Below are 19,275 nucleotides of genomic sequence, written 5' to 3' on the forward strand. Positions count from 1 at the left end.
GCTTCTCCACCTGAACTGGATTTGAGCCACCCTAGATATCCCAGAGGCAGGGCCGGCTTTCTGGCCTGTGACCCATGCAGTCGCACAGGGCCCTGGTCTCAGAAGGGTCCTGAGCTTGTTTTAATGCCCTGCCACCACTGCCTTGAACTTCTGAATACTTGCTCAACAAAGGTCCTGCGTTTTCATTTTGTACTGGGCCCCCCAAATTATATAGCCAGTCCTGACCACAAATCCACCCCTCATCACCAATTGTCACGTCTCTCCTGGCCCCTGCCATGTACCCAATCCCGGGGAGTAGGGTTTCTTGAGTGCCTACTAGCCAGTTTGCTTATATCACCTGAGATGAACTTCAGAATGACTTTGTGAATTGGGCAGATGTGGAAAATTGAGGCTCAGAGAGGCTTCCATATGGCAAGGAAGCCTAGACTTGAACTCAGGTCTCCCTGACTCCAAAGTGAGTGCTCTTAGCAGCTCTACATTCTGCATTATTTCATCTTCACCATGCCCAGGGGGATGGGGATACACACAGTTAGGCTGCTCTATTCCCAGATAACAGAAGGCATAACTGAGGCCAGAGAAGTGAAGGTTCTCAAGTCAGTGTCAAACCGAGGGCCTGGGCAACAGTGGACCTGGGCCTGGATCCATAGGGCTGGGGATGGAGTCTCAGTTTTATAGTTGTTTGTGCCACTTGTAAATTTATTAGCTCTTTCCATGCAGGTCACTGCCTTGAGTCTGGTCTGGAATGTGGCTGGAGCCCTACCCTGTCCCCCTCCCCCACAGCTCTCCATTCTAAACATCTGGAAGTCCTTCCTTGTGTCTTCTTCCACTCTTTCACGCTGCAGTTTTCCTCTGCCACCCTCACTGGTTGGGAAGCAGTTGGATCTGGCACCTTGATAAACTCAAAAGAGTCCAAATTCTTGATGAAAGTTGGGGCTGAACAGAGCCCATAGATTGCCATGTCCTATAACCAGGCCTGGGCCTAAGGCTCATAGAGCCAACTGCTAGATCCAGGGCAGCCATTTCCTTGTTCCTTGCTGGGTAACCTTGAGCAAGTCCCTTCCCTCTCTGGCCCTCAGACTCCCCTTCAGGGAGATAAATGCATTGGACCACACCTGAGCCCCAGGAGGCCTCTCTGTCTTCAACATTCTAGAATTCCATATTAATCTACAACAGGTCTGTTCATTTCCGCATCTAATAGCTGGGGAAACCGAGGCCCAGGAAGGATCAGAGATTTGCCCACCGTCACAGAAGGTGCTTATTGACAAGTGGACTTGACTCTGAGGCTCCTGTCAGCTGGCCCGGTTGCCTCTGCACAAACTTTCGGAGGATCTGGCCTCAGCATCAGCTCAGCTTGCCCTTGTCCCGCCGCCTTTAGCCCAGGTGGTCTGTCAGGCACCCTCAGTGTCCAGGCCTGGAAATCACAGCTAAGAGTCCTTGGCAGGCAATAAAGTTCCTCTTCTATGGCTTGAATGTCTCCCAAAAGTCATACATTAAAACTTCACCCCCATTGTGATGGTATTAAGAGGCAGTGGGGGGCCTTTCGGGAAGTGATTAAGTGGTGAAGGCTCTGCCCTCATGAATGGATTAGGCCCTCTTTGCCCTTCTGACTTCAGGACACAATGTTCTGTGTCCTCCGGAGGACACAGCCAGAAGACACTGCCTTGGAAACAGGGAGTCCAGGACCTCACCAGATGCGGAACCTGCCAGAGCCTTGATCTTGGACTTCCCAGTCTCCAGAACCATGTGTAGTAAGTTTCTATTTCTCTATTTATAAATTATCCCGTCTCAGGTATTTTGTTACAGCGACACAGAGTGAACTAAGACACTCTCTTTAGACAAAAGTGGGCCAGGGGATGGCAGCAACCCTTTTCTCCCCAATCGCATTTGGGCTGTGTCAGTGTTTCCGTAATAAAGGCCCCTTTTCCAGGGGTTATAATTTGGCTGGAAAATGAGGAGGAAAGACCAGACTCCAGGACTGGAGGGGCACATGAAGTAGGAGGCTAGGATGGGAAAAGTCTCCACTGGACCCTGGGCACGCAGAGTGCACACACACACGCACACACATCTATACCCTACATGTGTGCACTCACACACAGCACCCACGCTCATGGGCACAGTCTCTCACACATTCACTGGCAGCTCACACCCACATGGACAAGCCCTCATGGAGGACAGCATTGTTACAGTGCAGCCACAGGTGCAAACAGTTAAGTGCAGGTGTGTGCAAAGATGCTCCTAGGAGATGCCTCTGTCTGCATCATCATGCATGGACCTATTGGTATAGATGCGCAGATAGATGCACAGATAGGCCCCATTATATGAGTGGTGTGGACACACACATGGGCAGAAACCCACATCACAGCTGTGTAAACAGCAGACCATTGTGTGGACAAATCTTTACACACAGAGGCAGGCATGGAATCAGGGCTCAGAGCTTTGGATTTGTTCTACAGAGCAGCTCTGGGAGGAGTCGAACCCTGGCTCTGGAAGTTTCTGCTTCTCCTCAATTCAGAGGCATGGACTTTCTGGGTGGTTTGCCCCCCTGGGGCTTCCAAACCATTCCCCAGCATCTGAGTTTAACCCGCTCCCTCATTGTTCGATGGGGACAAGGAGAGCCTGTCTTCCTGGTCCAGAGAAAGGCAGTGGGAGGGGAGAAGTGGGAGGGTTGCAGCTAGGGTGCCCCACGGCAGCATGGGTGGAAGGGCAGGGCACTAGCCTAGGGGCCCAGAGACCTGAGTTTGGGTTTAGGTTGAGATGCCCTAGGCCAACACATGGCCTCTCTGGGCTTCATCCTGAGCCCCCTCTGTTAGGGCCATGTGACACCCCCAGGGGCCTCAGCATGGGGAAGAGCACTGAAACCATGTCACATGATGAACTATTAAAGCAACTGGAGACTTTGCCCTGGAGGAGAGCAGGCTTGGGGGGTAAGAGCTCCTCTGGCAGATCTATGAAGAGCTCCCAGGTGGCAGGGACCATATGGATGCTGGGGGCTCCATACCAGGAATAGAAATATTGAGAGCTGGCTTGGAATAGGGACACGTCCCCTCAGAGGTAGAGATCAAGTTGAGACCAGGATATTGTGCAGGGAGTTCGAGTGTTAGATGGGGCAGGGGCCGGACCAGATACTAGTGTCTCAAACGCTCAGCTCATAGCAAACACGTATTGAACAAATGAGAGAGCGACTGCAGAGCTCCATTTCTGAGCCAATCATCCGTGATTCAGAGCATACCAGCTCTGGGTTCCCACCTTGCCATCTGCATGACCTTGGCCCTCTCCAAACCTCAGTTTCCTCATCTATGAAATGGGGAGAACAAATTATTTCCAAGAGCTCCAGCAAGTCACATCCCCTATTGTTGGTCTTTCAGGTCATCCCAGAATTTCTGCTCTTATAAATAGAAAATGACATTGAAGGTGAAAAGCAGACAGACAAGCAAGAGAATAGTTAATACAAAAATCATAGCTAGGCGTGGTAACTTGTGTCTGTAATCTCAGCTACTTGGAAGGGTGAGGTGGGGGGATCTACTTGAGGCCTAGAGTTCAAGACTAGCCTGGGCAACAAAGTGAGACTCTGTATCTACCAAAAAAAAAAAAAAAAATCAGGAGAGTGGTCCCCACCACTTGCCACCTGTGATGAGTAGGGAGAGGGATGCAGTCAGGGAAGGGACACTGGTGGGAGCCCTAAGGTCCCATTAGTGCTTTGTTTTTTAAAGCCAGGTGGTAGGTAGATAGATGTCTGCTTTATTCTTCTTCTTTAAACAATACTTATATTTTATACATTCTTCTGTACATGTATTTTACATGTTTAAAAATATTTTAAAGGAAAGCAAAAGATAAAATATAGAAAAAGTTCCCCTGCCCCAAACCTCTGAAAAAATGGACAATATGCTCAAATGTGCATAATATCGTACAATTATTCATGATGCAGCAAAGCTGCACTGTTTCATCCGGATGGTCCTGTGTACCATCACACTCTCAGTTGAATCTCTGCAGGCCCTTGCAGCTGTCCTCATCATGGCAACCCCCACCTAGGTAAGCACTTCTAGGTAACAGCCCCTGCTGAGCACGCTCCCCAAGCACTCCTCATGGCCGACCAGTAGCCCTTCAGGTATGTGTCAGTGGGCCCACTTTACAGGCAAGGAAGTCCCTTGCACCTACATAGGAAGGGGCAGAGCTGGGATTTGAACCAGCTCTGTCAATGCCAAAGTTGTGCAGCAACCTCACCCGAGGAGCCAGGCCCCTTGATTATAGTAACTAGCGTTATGTACACTCACACATGCTGTTGAATCCCCGGAGCCACTTTTGTATTAGGTACATTTATCATCATCCCCATTGTAACAGTAGGACAACGGAGGCATAGCAAGGTCAGGAACGTGTTCAAGTTCACACCCTAGGTGAGTATCAGAGCTGAGCCTTGAACCTCAGCAGCCTGATCCCAGATTGTGTTTCCTGGCCTGGCTGTGTGGGGAGCTCAGACTTCATGGAAACAAAAGACAGAACGGTGGCTCCAGGGTCCACAGCGGATCCCAAGGGACCAGAGGCCAGCAGGGGGGTTGGCTGGGGTTGGAGGATGCTGCCTAGGAGATCTGCTCCCAGAGTGATGCTAGCCCTGTGTGATGACCTGAGTCCCCGCCTCCTTACAGGGTCATGGCTGCTGGGGAGGTGCTGAGGCTGTGGGTACAGCCAAACGGAGCTAGAGCAGGCTTTGGACTCCCTGCCTGGCAAGTCCAGGTGACAGGCTCAGACACTGGGCACTCTGTCATTTGCTGTTGGCATAAGTTTCCACTGGCAGGAATGTGACATTTATCACCTGAGTGGGCTTCCAGAAGCCCACTGAATGTCCTCAGACCTGGGGTGGGGGGCCCTCTCACTGCCTCACCTCTGAGCCTTAATCAAATCCAGGGTGGCTGGATGATCTGAAGGCCCTTTTAGCTCACGGAGGCCTGGGCTTGCCCCTGCCCCCATCCGTGTCCTCAGGGGAAAAGGTTCCCAGTCCTGCCCTTAGCAGCTCTGAGCTTAGATGAGGGGGGGAGATGAGATGGAAAGGAAAAGGAGAAGTAAGAAACAGACAGAGGAAAAGGAGTTGGCACTAGATTGAAGCAGTCAACACACACTTATTAGGCACCTAGGGCTATTTTAGGTGCTGGGGATACAAGCAATGGACCAGAAAGCCATGGAGCTCCTTGGGGGCTTTGATTCCAGCAGGGCAGACAGAAGACAGACAAGGAGGCAAATAAATAAGCACGCCAATATTTGATAGTGTCTTGGGACACTCAAGAAAACAGATGGGGGTAAAGTCAGAGAGAGTGACTGGGTGGATGGGGAGAGAGGGGCTCTTGGCAATACTTTAGACAGGGTGGTCAGGGAAGGTCTGTCGGAGCAGGTGACATGCGAGCTGAGACCAGAGGGTTGAGAGGGACCCAGGAAGGGAGAAGGGGGCTGGTAGGAGGGCCCACTGCACAGTGGAACTGGCTTTACCCACCTGCCTTCTCCCCACTCCTCTGCACTGCTAGTATCCCCAGTTCCTAAAACTCTTACTGCCCTTTCTCTCTGTTGCTTCTCCCACAACAGCCCTGAGAGCCAGATGGGGTGAGCCTAAGTAGCCTGACCTGCAGTGCAGGAAACTGAGGCTAGAGTGGGGAGGGTCAGCATCAGCGGTGCCCTAATGCCAGGACCTGACCCGGGCTCCCGCCTCCCAGCCTGGTGCTCCTCGGAGCCTGCCCATTGCCTGGCATGTTATTCAACCACCCCAGTCCAGGCAGGCTGCAGCCACTGTGGAGCCAGCCCGTGGGCACCGCTCCTGAGAGGTCACAGGCTGGAAATGTGGGCAGCTGGGTAGGGTCTAGGAGGGGGCAGCGGCTCAGGACTGGGCGGGGGTCCGGAGCGGAAGGCGCCCAGCCCTGATTGGAACAAGGTGGCAGCACCGGGAGCCGAGCCGGGTGTCATTGATCTTGCCCGGTGTTCCAGCCACCAGGCGGGACCAGCGCCGGGCAGACTGCCGGTTTTCCCAGGTGTGGGGACACCCTGAGGGAATGACTTTTCATGTGGTTGTGGGGCAGGCATGCCACCCAGCACGTGGGGGAGGCCAGGGCTTTGGGAGCATGCTGGCAGCAGGGTGGAGGGGGGTGTCTGGAGACTCAGAATCCCACAGCCAGCAAATGTGAGGCTCCTGGAGACAGGGTCATGGACTTGAGGCTCTGAGACCCTGAGGATGTTAGAATCTTCATCGCAGTAGCTCCCACTGATGGTGTGCTCACGGTGCCAGGCACGGTTCTGAGAACTCACACAGCTTAACTCTTCATCCTTGCTCCATCCTAAGAGGGGGTTCTGTGATCATCCCCACTTACAGTTGGGGAAACTGAGGCTCGGCAAGGTTAAGTAGCCTGCCAAACACACAGCTACCAGGTTTTTGTCTTAGGAAATAAGAGCCCTGGAACAGTTGGCCAGTGCGGAGAGGACCCCCGAAGATCTCTGAGGCTAGTCCCCTTGTGTCGGAAAAACAGGTCTGGAGAGGGGATGTGACGTGCTGGGGCCCAGGGGAGTCCAAAGTCAGGACTCATTCTTCCCCCAGGTCATCGTGGGACCTCCGCTGGTCCCTGAATGTCAGGCCCCCTGAGGGCAGGGTCCTCAGCCAGGACCTAGGCTCCCAGATGTTACCAACCTTAACTGACAGTTTTCTGCTAGCACACAGGAAGTTCTTTTGAACATCTAACCTGAATCCCTCGTTTGCAGGGAAAGCCTCTTCCTTCTCATCTTGCAGTACTCTAAGAAGAGTTTGGCCTTTGATGTTAGGGAAGATCACCAGTTCCCTGGTGTTGTGGGAGGTGAGACTGTGCCCCTCTCTGCCATAAAATATCTCTTTACTGTCCATCGCTGGGCCTAAACATTAGCGACTTAGCCCTTGGGGCCTTACAGAGTTTCTTATTAAAATGTGAGTACTCCTGGAATGGGTGTCAGCTTAGCAGGACAGGGTGGTACTTCAGGGGCAGGGCTTGGGGGCCGTTGAGGGGCAGGAGAGAGCTGATTCTCCCCTTCTAGCCAGGCTTGATGGGGTCTACATGACCTGCCACCCTCCACCTCTCTGACCTCATCTGCTTCCACTCTGCCCCTCCCTCACCCTGCTCCAGCCACCCTGCCTTCAAATATGCCCATCATACTCCCACCACAGGGCCTTTGTCTGTGCTGCCCTTTACCTGGAAAACCCTTCCCATTCTGTCTGCCTGGCTCAGCTACCCACTTCATTCAGGTCCCTGCTGCCTCCTCCAAGAGGCCTTCTCTGGTCTCCTGTGGTAGGCAGAATAATGGCCACAGAGATGTCCACATCCTAATCCCCAAACCTGTGGCTATGTTACCTTATATGGCAAAAGGGACTTCGCAGATGTGATGAAGGATAAAGACTTTCAGATGGGAGATTATCCTGGATTCCCCAGGTGGGCCCCATATGATCACAAGGATCCTCACACATGGAATAGGGAGGCAGAAAAGGACAGTCGGAGGGAGATGGGGTGTGGAAACTGATTAGGGAACCTGAGAGATGGCAGCGTGGGAAAAACATGGCTCAAAGCTGTGGGCTTTGAAGGTGGAGGAAGGGGCTATGAGCCATGGAAAGCAGACAGCCTTTAGGAGCTGGACAAGACAAGGAAACAAATTCTCCACCAGAGCCTCCAGCAAGGAACACAGCCCTGCCCTGACCTTGATCTTGGCCAAGGGAGACTCATAGAGAATTTCTGATCCCTGGAACTGTAAGATTATAAATGCATGTTTTTTTTAAGGCACTAAAAGTGGGTTAATTTATGATGGCAGGCATAGGAAACGAATATGTCTCCCTTCCTTGATTGACAGTTCCTCAGCACATTTATTAGTGCCTGATACACAATAGCTTGACTTATGAATTGTCTCTTTTCTCTCACAGAAGGTCAGCTGCAGGAGGGCAGGGATTTTTTGCTTGCTTGGTGTTACATTCGCAGATAGAGTTGTCACATTTAACAAATGGAAATATAAAACACCCAGTTAAATTGAATTTCAGATAAATAATGAACTCCTTTTTAGTATAAAGTTGCCCCAAATATTGCAATTATTTATCGTTTATCTGAAATTAAAATAATTTAGGAGTCTTGTATTTTATCTGGCGAATTCATCCCCAACACATAAAACCATTCCTGGGTATGTATTAGGATCTCAATAAATGTCTGTTGAATGAGTGAAATAGATAAGCAAATGAATTCACATTAACTTCTAGCTTAAAAACCCTCTTTGGCTCCCAGAATGCCTACAGGGTAAAGTGTAAATCATAGCAAATGATAAAAGCAGACAGTTTCATAGCCGCTTCAATATGCCAGACCCGGGCTGAGTGCTTTACACTTATTAACTCACTCGGTTCTTGCAATAACCCAATGAGGTGGTTAGCCCATTTTCCAGATGAGGAAACTGAGGCCCAGGAGGCTTAGTAACTTGTTCAAAGTCACATAACCATTGAGCAGCAGAGCCAGGCAATTCCAGGCCTTTGAAAACTTGGCTCATGGAATGTTCTAATGTTATCTCCCTACCCATTCCCCTGAACACTGTGGATCCTCTCTCTCTAACAGCCCCCGGTTCCTTTTCAGGGTATGTGCTTCCGCATTCTCTGACTGCTGAACTCCTCCTCATACATCAAAGCCCTGTCCTACTTTTCTCTCTTTGTGAGACCATCTCTAAAACTCCCAGGAGGACTTGGCCCCCTCTCTTTCCCCTCCCCACCATGGCCCCTTGTCTGAATGCGTTGTAAGGACTTGCTATTGTGTCCTTTACGTTCCCTGACTGTGACCTCCCTGAGAACGGAGATGGGCCCCTTTCAGCTCTTTGGCATGGGGCTTCAAACTGAGTCTGGCTTTAGGGGGGTTCCCAGAAGCATTTGAGAATGAATGAATGAATGAATGAATGAGTGAGTGAATGAATGGCTGAGTGAATGAACGAATGCTGTTTGTTTCCACTCTGGGCCTCAGTTTCAGAGTCTATAAAAGGGGAAGAACAATCCTGAACCGCCCCCCATTCCTTAAAACAAAACACATTTTTTTCTGATTATAAAAATAATACACATTCATTAAAGAAAAATTGGAAAATAATAAAATTATGAAGAAGAAAATTAAAACCATCCATAATCCTGCCACCCAGAACAATGGTTCCCACTGGGTGTTCAGCCTTCTGCTCTTCTTACTGTATGTATAGATTTATTATCTTCTTCTCTTCCCCGCCCTCCCTCCCTTCTCTCCTTCCTTTTTTTTTTGAGTGTTGGGAACATACAGTATGGGGTCCTTTAAACCTGCTTTTGAAATCCCCCAACATGTGTGTATGTGTGTTCTCCTGTTTTCTTAAAGCCTCCCTGATGGCAGGGGACAAGTGGCTGCTAGACAAGCCTGGTAGGGGCCAGGGTGTGGAAAGCCCATTCCCCCCCTACTCATGGACCACCATAGTTCCCTTGTGATGGGCTGTTTAGGGGGTTTCCAGATTTCTGTCAGGGAACACCCTGCGTGGATGTCTTAGCTGCATCCCTGGTTCCTTCCTTAGGACAGATTCTGGGACTGGGGTTGCTGAGACCAGTATAGACACTGAGAGGCTCCGGACACCGCCCCACATCCTCCCCACAGCTGCTCTCCAGCCCCACTCCCACTGGCAGCCTGGACTTCTCAGCTTGGCAGAAAGCCGGGGGCAGTATTCCACCTCCTCCAGAGAAAAGCCTTGTCTACACCCAAGGCCTCACTGATTCCATCCAACGCTGAAAATACCCATTTACTCAGCTATTTCTCCACGTTATGGTCTAAGGCCCAGATGCTTAGTTCCAACCAAAATAGCCACAGAGGTCACTGTGGTCTGAGGGTCCTCTGGACCTCAGGCCTGTGTAGACATCATACTTGGTAATAATTAACCCACGGAGCTCACCACGTGCCAGACCCTCTGCGTCTCTGTGTGTCCTCACGGTAACCCTGAAGCTAGGGATGGCTGTCTCCCATCTTACAGGTGAGAACACTGAGGGTGCTCCAGAGAGCTGTGGGCCCTAGGCCTTGTCACCTGGGGGTGCAAAGGCGCTGCCCCAGTAGTCCGGCTGCCTGCTACCTGGCTGCCTGCTACCCAATGGGGCAAAGTCCCAGCACTACCCCGAAACAAGGACAAGCTTTGGCCTAGAAGCTGGGCAGCCAGGTCCTGTGCCTGTTTTTTCTCCATATGTGCCCTGGGCAGCTCACCCTCTCCGTCTGTGAAATGGGAGAGCAGGGAGTCAGAGACAGCCTCCTAGGCCTGTGGCGGCTCTGAGCACAGTGGGTGCAGATACTCAGTGCTGAGTCAAAGAGAGAGAGAACCCTGCCAGATGGGCCAGCTCACCACAAGCAGCCAAGCCCGGTCTTTGAGGGGTTGGAGTGGGCAGGCCTTTGACCAAGGCTGAGCTAGGAGGGACCTGACGGCCCCAGATGGAGGCTGGCCCACCCTGCCCCAGCAGATGGGAGGCTATTTTTTAACCCCACAGGAAGAAGAGGACAGAAATGATTGCAGGGGGTTAACCTAGGCCCCTGGGGACGCTCCCTGTTTGCATCCTCCTTTCCCCACAACCCAGAGAGCTATGTGGGCTTCACCTGGAGTTCCCTGAATCCTTCTGGAGCTCCCCGCAGATCACAGCCGGAGCTGGCAGGGCCTGAGTGGCCCCTGTCTGCCAGGCGAGGGACCCAGAGCCCAGAGAAGTTTGACCAGGACTGGCTTCCTCTGCCCTCTCTGCTGTGTGCTTCCACCAGGTGAGGCTGCCTCCTCCGCTTCTACCTTTCTTCCTGGGGTGACCTGGGGAGGCCCCACCTTCTCCCGGGCCAGTTTCCCCATCTGTCAGACAATGGGACCCTCCAGACATCACTGAGGCTTCTCCCAGCTGGGAAACCTCCTTCTGAGCTGGGGCCCTGACTCTGTCACATCAGTCCTGGATTCCTGGAGGCCTCAGCCCTCCAGAAGCATCCACCCAGTGGACAGGAGCTCGTGGCAGGTGTCTGGGGACCCCCAGGAAGAGGAAGGATTTCCTGGCCAGAGATAAGAAGAGCAGCGTGGGTAGGGGTTAAGCATCCTCCCCCTGCAGCCTCCCTCAGACCACGCCACCAGGTGGCCCTTGGTCCCCCCAAAAGGAGTTCCTGAAAAGTCTGTGTCTGTTGCAGCAGGTGCGGCCTGTGAAGTGTGTGTATGCTTGTGTGAGGGTGGTGTGTGTTCACATGCACATGGTGGGGGTGGGCACACAAGGCGGGAGGCCTAACATGGTGGCAGGGACAGACTTTGGTTGCTGAGCTGGGACAGCCTGTGACAGAGGCCCCAGCACACCCGCAGGTCTTACCAGAAACCCTCAGATGGTGCTGGTCTGACCTGAAGGTGGGCACATGCAGGGAAGGGGTACATGCAGGACAGGGGTGCATGTGGGGGAGGGCCATGTACAGGGCAGGGGTGCATGTGGAGGAGGGGTACATGCAGGATGGGTGCATGTCGGGGAGGGTCATGTGCAGGACGGGGTGCATGTGGGGGGTGCGTGCAAGACAGAGGTGCATGGGAGAGAAGGGTTTGTACATGGCAGGGGTGCATTGGGGGTGCATGCAGGGCAGGTGTGCATGTGGGGGAGGGGCATATCCAGGACAAGGGTACATGTGGGGAGGCCACAGGGCTCAAATGCTGTCAGGGCCTCTGGGAAGCTGGGACCCCAGTGAATGCTTGAGGGGAGCCAACTCTGCCTGACCTCCTCTTATGATTGTCTATTTAAACAATACTGTAAATTAATCACATTAATCGAACCCACCTCCCTGCCTCCTGCTGCTTGCCCCTGTGATACAAATAATATGAGCACAATGAAAAATCTTGGAAAATACAGAAAACACATAAAAAATGTTAAAGCCTGAAGTCTTATAACCACAGTGAACACTGCGAGTGTCTTTGAGGGGATGGGGGTCTGCAGGTCTTCTTGATACAATCACATTCATTCCCACATACTGGAGCATTTCCCACGGGCGGCTGTGGAGCTGAGCACTTCAGGTTTGTCTTAGTGAATTCTCTAACAGCCTGAGAGGGAGGTACTGTTATTCTCCCCATTGTATGGCTGAAGAAACAGCAAAAAGGAGGTTAAATATCCCCCTCAGGGTGTAAGAAGCAGAGCCAAGATTTGAATCCAAGTCTGGCTAAATGGAAAGTGCAAATCGTCCAGCGTCCAGGGCTGCACTCCAGCCATGCCCCGCCCCCCGTGAGCAGACCACTCATTTATTCATTCCTCCAGGAGCATTTACTGAGCACCTCCTGTGACTCAGACCCTGCCCAGCACCCACACCAAGGACTTGGCGGATGTGAACGAGACAGAGAGAGGCCCCAACCTGACTCCCCAAGCGGCCACAAACTGAGTCCCAACCTTGACCACAGCTTGATTTCTAGTCCAAGTTGTCACTGACCCCCACTGGCCTTCATCACTGACTGAACTGTGACCTGGCCTCCTGCACTCTGCAGTGGCCTCTGTGAGCTTTTCATTCCCCGTGATGTGTGTGAAAGCCAAGGCCAGCAGCCCACCTCACCCAGCCTATCATCCACGCGGCCTGGGCCAGGGAGGCCGTCAGGAGCCCACCCACCACCTCTGGCCTGCCACTCTGGGCCAGGCCTCTCTGGAGCGGGGGTTTGGCCTTGGCCCTTGGCACCCTGCTTGGCAGAAGGGTGGGCCTTGGCTCAGAGCATGGGGCCACCCCAGGAGGGGTCAGCATAGCTGAGCTCAGGGTACCTGTGGGCGGGGCTTCCATGTCCCAGGGTCCTCACACTGCAGCCTCCTCTTTTTGCCTGGGCCCTGGAACCCCAGGAGACCCCAGGAGCCGTTGCTCCCTCCTCTCACTTGCAGAAACTCAACAGGGCAGCTCATCTGAGCTCCCCCGATGCCTGCACTGTATTTCTGGGGGTCCTGCATGTCTCTCCAATCCTCAGGCAGGGCCAGTTACCTACTTTATAGGACCCAGTGCAAAAAGAAAATACAGGACCCCTTTTCAAAATGCAGGAACAAAAGTTTTTCCTTTCTTCTGTGGACTCTCAACCCACGGTGGTGTTTTTTATTTGCTGTTCAATGTCACACGTACTTGGACCTGGGGAGACTTGTGCAGAAAGTGCAGACCCTCACAGATGCTCAGGGGCCACCCCAAAACTTGGTGTGCAGATTCCAACCCCTTTCTCCTCCCCATGCCTGCCTCAGTGGAGGGCGGCAGTGCAGGTAGTGGGCTGCTGAGAACCCATCCCTGGAGGCAGCAGGAGGCAGACTGGACCCGGGCCCCAAGTCCCCAGGCATGCTGCACTAGCCCATCAGGCTTCATTTACAACACACTAATTCAGAGCGAAAATGATCCAGCATTTCAATATGGCAACTGCTGAGCGTTAAATTCAAGCACAGGAGGTGGGGGGGCCAGGTAGCCCTGGAACATAGCAGTCTCACAGGTGGCTGGGCGTGGGGTGGATCTCTGTTCTTGGAGTAGAGGGATGTGGAGTACCTCCCTCTGCTTGGAGTATCTGGGGTACCTGGACAAGCACAGGGGGCCATGAACAGGGCCATGCCTGTGTGCCTGCCCCTCGCTCAGAAGAGGGCACCTGACGGGAATACCAGGGCATATCTGCACCATGCCCGGGCAGTAGGCCTGGGCATGACCCTGGATCAGGCAGACCTGTAGTAGGTGGAAGGGCCCCAGGAGAGCTGAGGAGCCTAGGGGAGAGGAACCCAGAGGTCCCTGCCAAAGTGCTTGATGTGCTGCCGTAAGAAGGGCAGCATAGGCCGGGCGTGGTGGCTCACGCCTGTAATCCTAGCACCTTGGGAGGCTGAGGTGGGTGGATCACGAGGTCAGGAGATTGAGACCCTCCTGGATAACATGGGGAAACCCTGTCTCTACTAAAAATACAAAAATTAGCCGGTTGTGGTGGTGCGTGCCTGTAATCCCAGCTACTCGGAAGGCTGAGGTAGAAGAATTGCTTGAACCAGGGAGTTGGAGGTTGCAGTGAGCCAAGATCATGCCACTGCACTCCAGTCTGGCAACAGAGAGAGACTCCATCTCAAAAAAAAAAAAAAAAAAATAAGGCAGCATGGGTGCCTGCTGAGAGAGAGAGAAAGAAGCTCTTTCCCTGCATGTGTTGCCATGGGATTCTGGCCCAGCTCCCTGGGGTGCTCTCTGAGCTCAGCTTTGGCCCTGTCCCTCTCTCTCTGTGCCTCAATTTCTCTAACTATGCACTGAGCAAGGAGAAGACCACCACACCTCAAGTACCTTCTGCATGGGCCATACACTGAGTTTTATGAATCTCCCCTCTCTTGTTCCACAAATGATTACTGGCCCATTTCTCAGACGAGGAAACTGAAGCCCAGAGGAGGCAATGACTCACCCAGTAAGAAGGTGGTGGAGCTGGTTCTGCCTGGCTTCCCTTCACCCCTTGAGTCGCTCCAGCCTCTCTAGGTTTGGGTGGAGGACGTGGGAACCAAGCTCGTGGGGGCACCACCAGCTCTTGCCAGAAATGGGGCCAAGAGAAGACCAAGGATGCTCCTTGACCTGAGGAAACGTCCATTAATTCATAGCTACTGTGCTTTGGCGAGCCACGCAGGCTCTGGATGCAGGCTGCCTGGGTGGGTGACCTGAGCAGATGCCTTAATCTCTCTGGGGTTCAGTTTTCTCATCTGTAAAATAGGCCTCATAAGAGCTTTTGTCTTATAGGGTTGTGAGGATTAAATGAGCTAAGGTATATCACTTGAGCCTGGGAGGCAGAGACTTTAGTGAGCAAGATTATGCCACTGCACTCCAGCCTGGAAGACAGAGCCAGAACCTGTCTCAAATACATATATAAACAAAATGAGCAAAGGTATGGAAAACACTTAGACAGTGGCTGACATAGAGTTAAGAGCTATGTAAATGTTTACTGCTAATGGAACTATTTAAAAGTTGAGTCATAATTTATATTTTCTAGACTGTCAATTACGAATTGATTCATTTCAATGTTGTGCTTTTCCCTTTTGTATTTAGGATCCAGCAAATTTTCCTTTGAAATCTCAATACAATTTCCTAGGTCCTTGAGAAGATAATTTCCCCGCCCCCACAGTGCTTATAGCCCATGGTGGATCCAATAGCTCTCTCTAGAGCAGCTTTTCCAAAAGTGGACTTTGCACACACCAGCCCCTTCCAGATGCATCATCTCACCCCAAGAGATAACTCAATAAACAGTTGAGCATACACTATTTTAGATCTCCATGGCCCAACAAGGTAGCCATTAGCATATCAAAGACTCTGACAAGTCCTGCAGCAAAACACCATTGAACATTGTTTGAAACAACCAATCCCAATCTTGTTTGACCACAGAGTTCCATTATTTCTGCTCAACAGCTGATAACATCTGAACACACGTTGGGAGATGCCACCCTCATTTCCTGCTTTCTAGGAAATGGCAAGGGGAGTCAGAGCTGTGAGGAACACCCTCTCGCAGGGATGAGTGGCTCCACCTCTACAGAAATCATCTCCAGTCATGTGCACCATCGCTAGGCCATTCCTCCTGTTCTCACCTTCCTTGTCTGATTCAGCCCCCACAGCGGCCTGGAGAGGTCACTAGCATCAATGTCTCCATCATACAGATGAGGAAATTGAGGTTCACAAAGGTTAAGTGGGCACATAGCCAGTAAGTGGCAGATCCGGTAGACAAACCCACAGCTTCTGATTCTAAACCCCACATTCGTTCTTCTGTATGTTGACTGGAAAAGTAAAAATAGATCCTATTCTAACAGGATCAATCTTCCCCCATCATAGGCTTTTAAAAAACTCAGGTATTTTTTTTTTCCGGTAGCATTGAATGCTTTAAAAACTTAAAATTTTTACTATCTTTCTTTTGATTACTAAAGCAGTACGTGCTTGTTATGTATAAAACTTTTCAAACATTTTGAGTTGAAAAATGAAAAAAAGGCAGGGCGCGGTGGCTCAAGCCTGCAATCCCATCACTTTGGGAGGCTGAGGCGGGCGGATCACGAGGTCAGGAGATCGAGACCATCCTGGCTAACACAGTGAAACCCCGTCTCTACTAAAAATACAAAAATTAGCCAGGCGTAGTGGCGGGCACCTGTAGTCCCAGCTACTCGAGAGGCTGAGGCAGGAGAATGGCGTGAACCCAGGAGGCGGAGCTTGCAGTGAGTGCGATTGCGCCACTGCACGCCAGCCTGGGCGACAGAGCCAGACTCCGTCTGAAAAAAAAAAAAAAAAGAAAAGAAAAGAAAAGAAAAATGAAAAAAAAAAAAAAACAGATCTGCATAGCCCTACAAAGTAGCCATTAGCTTTTAAATGAAAATACTTAAATGCTATCTAAATGAAAATAGTTAAAATGAAATAAGATAAAAAATTCAGTTCCTCAGTTACAGTAGCCACGTTTCAAGCGCTCGGGATTCACGTGCCCCTGGTGGCTACTGTGTTGGGCAGCACAGACATGGGACATTACTATCATCACAGAGAATCCTACGGGACGGTGCCGTTCTAGATTCTTCTTAGACATATCCTAACACCTATACAGGTTGATTATCCCTAATTCAAAAATCTAAAATCTGAAATGCTCCAAAATCCAAAACTTTTTTAGGGCCAACATGGTACTCAAAGGAAATGCTCATTGGAGAATTTTGGATTTTGGACTGAAGTATAATCCAACTATTCCGAAATCTGACAAAATCAGAAGTCCTAAATTTGAATGCTTCTGGTCCCAGCCATCTTGGGTAAGGGATGTTCAACCTGTAATGACTGTTAATGTGTGGTTTTTTTTTTTGGAGACCAGGTCTTGCTCTGTCGCCCAAGCTAGAGTGCAGTGGCACGATCATAGTTCACTGCAGCCTTCACCTCTTGAGCTCAAGTTATCCTCCTGCCTCAGCCTCCCAAAGTGTTGGGATTACAGGCGGGAGCCGCCATGCCCCAGCCTATTGATATTCTTGTTGAGGTTCTCAGACATATCTGCATGGCCTCACACATGGAGGAAAGAGACCCACAGAGGCAAAAACAAGACATGGGGTAAAAATAGACTGGAAGGAAACACACCGAATGATAGTGGTTTTTTCTGGGTGTTGAGATTACCGAGCTTATTTTTAAATTTCTTAGATCCTTCAGGTGTTCTACAACGTAAAATGCAGACAGGGTGGGGACGTTGGTTGGAGTCATGTTTTCCCTAATGTTCTTACTGGTTCTAAAATCTTCAAGCTATGCTCTCACCCAAGGCTTCACTTATTATTATTTTAACACTGTGGATTCATAAAGAATGGAAGCCCACACAAGTCCAGGGAAGGAAGGAAAGGCAGACAGAGGCTTATTTTCAGGCCTGGGCAGTTGCACAGGGTCCCTTGCTTAGAAGGGCCTCATGCTTGGTTTCGTGTTCTGTGGTCGCTGTCCTGAAATTCTTACTGATTTTTGAACAAGGGATCCTGTATTTTCATTTTGCACTGTGCCCTGAAAATCATGCCGCCGTCACTAGCCCTGGGATTCTCCCCAGGACAGGTTTCCCTTCAGCTGCTCTAAGCCTTCGCCCTTGTCCTTGTCCAACCACGGACGTGGCCATCCACGGAGCCCTCTACGTGCCTCAGAGCAAGTGTGCTTCGGCTGCTCAGGTGTGTGTCTAGAGACTGATAAAAACAGGGCTCGTGAGTGGGTGCGGGAGGCCCCTGTGGTCTCTGTTCACACACGTACCTACCCTCAAGGCCATGTCTACACTGGCCTATTTCAGAGAACCGCCCTGTGCATCATGGGATGCTTTGCCCCACATCACGGCCCAGCTTGGTTCAGTCCTGGAGCCCTGTGTCCTGAAGCCATGACCAACCCCAGGCCTGGCCCACCTTCTTCCTCAGTCTCCTCTCCCTCAAGCCCTCCACAGGACCCATAAACCTTCCATCTCCATGTAATCCTTTTGTGTGATCCTTCTTCCATACCTTTGCCCATGCTGTTCACTCTGCTTGTACCAGCAAGGTTCCTTCCTCCCCAGATCTGCCCTTTCTAGACCCATCTCAGATTCCACCCTTTCTAGAAAGACTTCAGGAAGTATTTGAGAAGGGCCTGAAGATGCTGTGGTTGCATAGAGGAGGATATGAATCACCTCGCTTAGAGGTATCGGGGAGGGCTCCATGGAGGTGGTGCCCTCAGGCCAAGGAAGAGAAGATATCTTCCGGGCAGAAGGGAGAGTTTGACGGGCTGGTTTGATGTCAGACAGACCACAGGATGACTCAAGGTCCTCTTTCCTCTTCTTAAACATTAGTTGCAGCAAGTCCCACCATCTGCCTGAGTCTGTTTTCATCTCCACAATGGAGGTGGTGATGCCCAGCACACGGAGCTGTGATGAGGATTTAATGGGGAATCCAGAGCATTTATGGAAGTGCCAGGAGGCCAAGATTCTGCATAGGTAGGAAGGACCTAAGCCAGAGGGGTGTGGGTGGCCAGAGGAGAGAGCCTACCTTAGTAGGGCTTGGTAGGCTAAGGTCTGGGCTGAATCTCGAGGCTCTGGAGCTTAGAACAGCATCTGCAACTCCCTGGCTGTCGGGGTTCAGGCAAGGACTGCCTCCTCTCTGAGTGTCAGTTTCCCCATCTATAAATGGAAAGCTGGGACACTGAAAAACACTGGGGGGGAGGGTGGTTCCTGAGGCAGTCTCTCTCCACACATCACAGGAATGTGGCGCCCCAGGGAGAAGGCATCTTTGTCCATTGTGTTCACTTCTGCATCTCCAGTGCCCAGAACAGTGCTTGCATGCAGTAGATGCTCAATAAATGTTCATTGAATGAATCAGCAGCAACCAATTCGCCCACCTCACATCCTAAGTCCGCTGGGGACGTAGGCCCACCTCTCCAGGGAAACTGTCTGCAGATTGGGACCACACCTCAGGTCACAAGCATTTCCTGAGCACCTACTGTATGCATGGCTCTGCGCAGCCCGGGGCAGACCCTTGCTCCACAGCCCGACAGGGCAGAGCCAAGGAGGCAGGTGACAGACACAGTGATTTGGGAAGAAGAACAGAGAGCAGGGTGGCCAGCAGGGCCTTGCCTGGGTGGGAGCAGGCCGTTCCCAGGCTGGAGCTCAGGCTGATGGGAGCCCCAGCTTGCCTGTTCCTGGGAGGGTGGGACTGCCTCTTCCTCTTTCTTTCTCTGAAAACAAAAATTGTTTTCCCTTAAATTTACAAGTATTAAAAGTTTGGAAAATACACAATAATCAAAAGAATATAAAATAAAGGTTACCTGCCATCATGGCGGACCACACAGTATTAACTACTATGGACTTTTCAGTGTTTCCCTC

At 51.4% G+C, this 19,275-nt stretch overlaps 1 protein-coding gene and 1 long non-coding RNA gene across 8 annotated transcripts in view, besides 10 other annotated features; one reads left to right on the forward strand and one right to left on the reverse strand.

The window, feature by feature from the left end:
- The window catches only part of RUNX3 (RUNX family transcription factor 3), a 65,628-nt gene that overhangs the window by 37,643 nt on the left and 8,710 nt on the right, over nt 1-19,275 (reverse strand). The gene's annotated exons all lie outside the window — the stretch shown is intronic.
- Nucleotides 1-19,275, forward strand: part of RUNX3-AS1 (RUNX3 antisense RNA 1) — a 34,252-nt gene that overhangs the window by 6,697 nt on the left and 8,280 nt on the right. Inside the window, exon 2 of one of the 3 annotated variants that reach the window (NR_183339.1) lies at nt 1,589-1,748. The exons of the other annotated variants lie outside the window; for them this stretch is intronic. This is a non-coding gene — a long non-coding RNA (RUNX3 antisense RNA 1). The remainder of the gene's footprint in view (nt 1-1,588; nt 1,749-19,275) is intronic. 3 annotated transcript variants of the gene reach the window in all.
- Nucleotides 1,329-1,828: an enhancer, noted in NCBI's record as "H3K4me1 hESC enhancer chr1:25264973-25265472 (GRCh37/hg19 assembly coordinates)". NCBI's record gives its function as "activates a minimal SCP1, AML or CMV promoter by ChIP-STARR-seq in primed H9 embryonic stem cells {active_cell/tissue: H9 hESC(primed)}" and the evidence as "EXISTENCE:reporter gene assay evidence [ECO:0000049][PMID:30033119]".
- Nucleotides 9,877-9,986: an enhancer, noted in NCBI's record as "active region_414". NCBI's record gives its function as "activates an Ori minimal core promoter by ATAC-STARR-seq in GM12878 lymphoblastoid cells {active_cell/tissue: GM12878}" and the evidence as "EXISTENCE:reporter gene assay evidence [ECO:0000049][PMID:35858748]".
- Nucleotides 12,533-13,056: an enhancer, noted in NCBI's record as "H3K27ac-H3K4me1 hESC enhancer chr1:25276177-25276700 (GRCh37/hg19 assembly coordinates)". NCBI's record gives its function as "activates a minimal SCP1, AML or CMV promoter by ChIP-STARR-seq in primed H9 embryonic stem cells {active_cell/tissue: H9 hESC(primed)}" and the evidence as "EXISTENCE:reporter gene assay evidence [ECO:0000049][PMID:30033119]".
- Nucleotides 13,057-13,582: an enhancer, noted in NCBI's record as "H3K27ac-H3K4me1 hESC enhancer chr1:25276701-25277226 (GRCh37/hg19 assembly coordinates)". NCBI's record gives its function as "activates a minimal SCP1, AML or CMV promoter by ChIP-STARR-seq in primed H9 embryonic stem cells {active_cell/tissue: H9 hESC(primed)}" and the evidence as "EXISTENCE:reporter gene assay evidence [ECO:0000049][PMID:30033119]".
- Nucleotides 15,447-15,496: an enhancer, noted in NCBI's record as "active region_415". NCBI's record gives its function as "activates an Ori minimal core promoter by ATAC-STARR-seq in GM12878 lymphoblastoid cells {active_cell/tissue: GM12878}" and the evidence as "EXISTENCE:reporter gene assay evidence [ECO:0000049][PMID:35858748]".
- Nucleotides 17,064-17,123: a silencer, noted in NCBI's record as "silent region_446". NCBI's record gives its function as "represses an Ori minimal core promoter by ATAC-STARR-seq in GM12878 lymphoblastoid cells {active_cell/tissue: GM12878}" and the evidence as "EXISTENCE:reporter gene assay evidence [ECO:0000049][PMID:35858748]".
- Nucleotides 17,620-18,819: an enhancer, noted in NCBI's record as "CDK7 strongly-dependent group 2 enhancer chr1:25281264-25282463 (GRCh37/hg19 assembly coordinates)". NCBI's record gives its function as "activates an origin of replication core promoter dependent on BRD2, BRD4, P300/CBP, MED14 and CDK7 cofactors, with strong dependence on CDK7, by STARR-seq in HCT116 cells {active_cell/tissue: HCT116}" and the evidence as "EXISTENCE:reporter gene assay evidence [ECO:0000049][PMID:35650434]".
- Nucleotides 17,861-18,040: an enhancer, noted in NCBI's record as "active region_416". NCBI's record gives its function as "activates an Ori minimal core promoter by ATAC-STARR-seq in GM12878 lymphoblastoid cells {active_cell/tissue: GM12878}" and the evidence as "EXISTENCE:reporter gene assay evidence [ECO:0000049][PMID:35858748]".
- Nucleotides 18,081-18,230: an enhancer, noted in NCBI's record as "active region_417". NCBI's record gives its function as "activates an Ori minimal core promoter by ATAC-STARR-seq in GM12878 lymphoblastoid cells {active_cell/tissue: GM12878}" and the evidence as "EXISTENCE:reporter gene assay evidence [ECO:0000049][PMID:35858748]".
- Nucleotides 18,271-18,320: an enhancer, noted in NCBI's record as "active region_418". NCBI's record gives its function as "activates an Ori minimal core promoter by ATAC-STARR-seq in GM12878 lymphoblastoid cells {active_cell/tissue: GM12878}" and the evidence as "EXISTENCE:reporter gene assay evidence [ECO:0000049][PMID:35858748]".

The sequence above is a fragment of the Homo sapiens genome, chromosome 1 (assembly GCF_000001405.40).
Source record: "Homo sapiens chromosome 1, GRCh38.p14 Primary Assembly".
Lineage (NCBI taxonomy): Eukaryota > Metazoa > Chordata > Mammalia > Primates > Hominidae > Homo > Homo sapiens.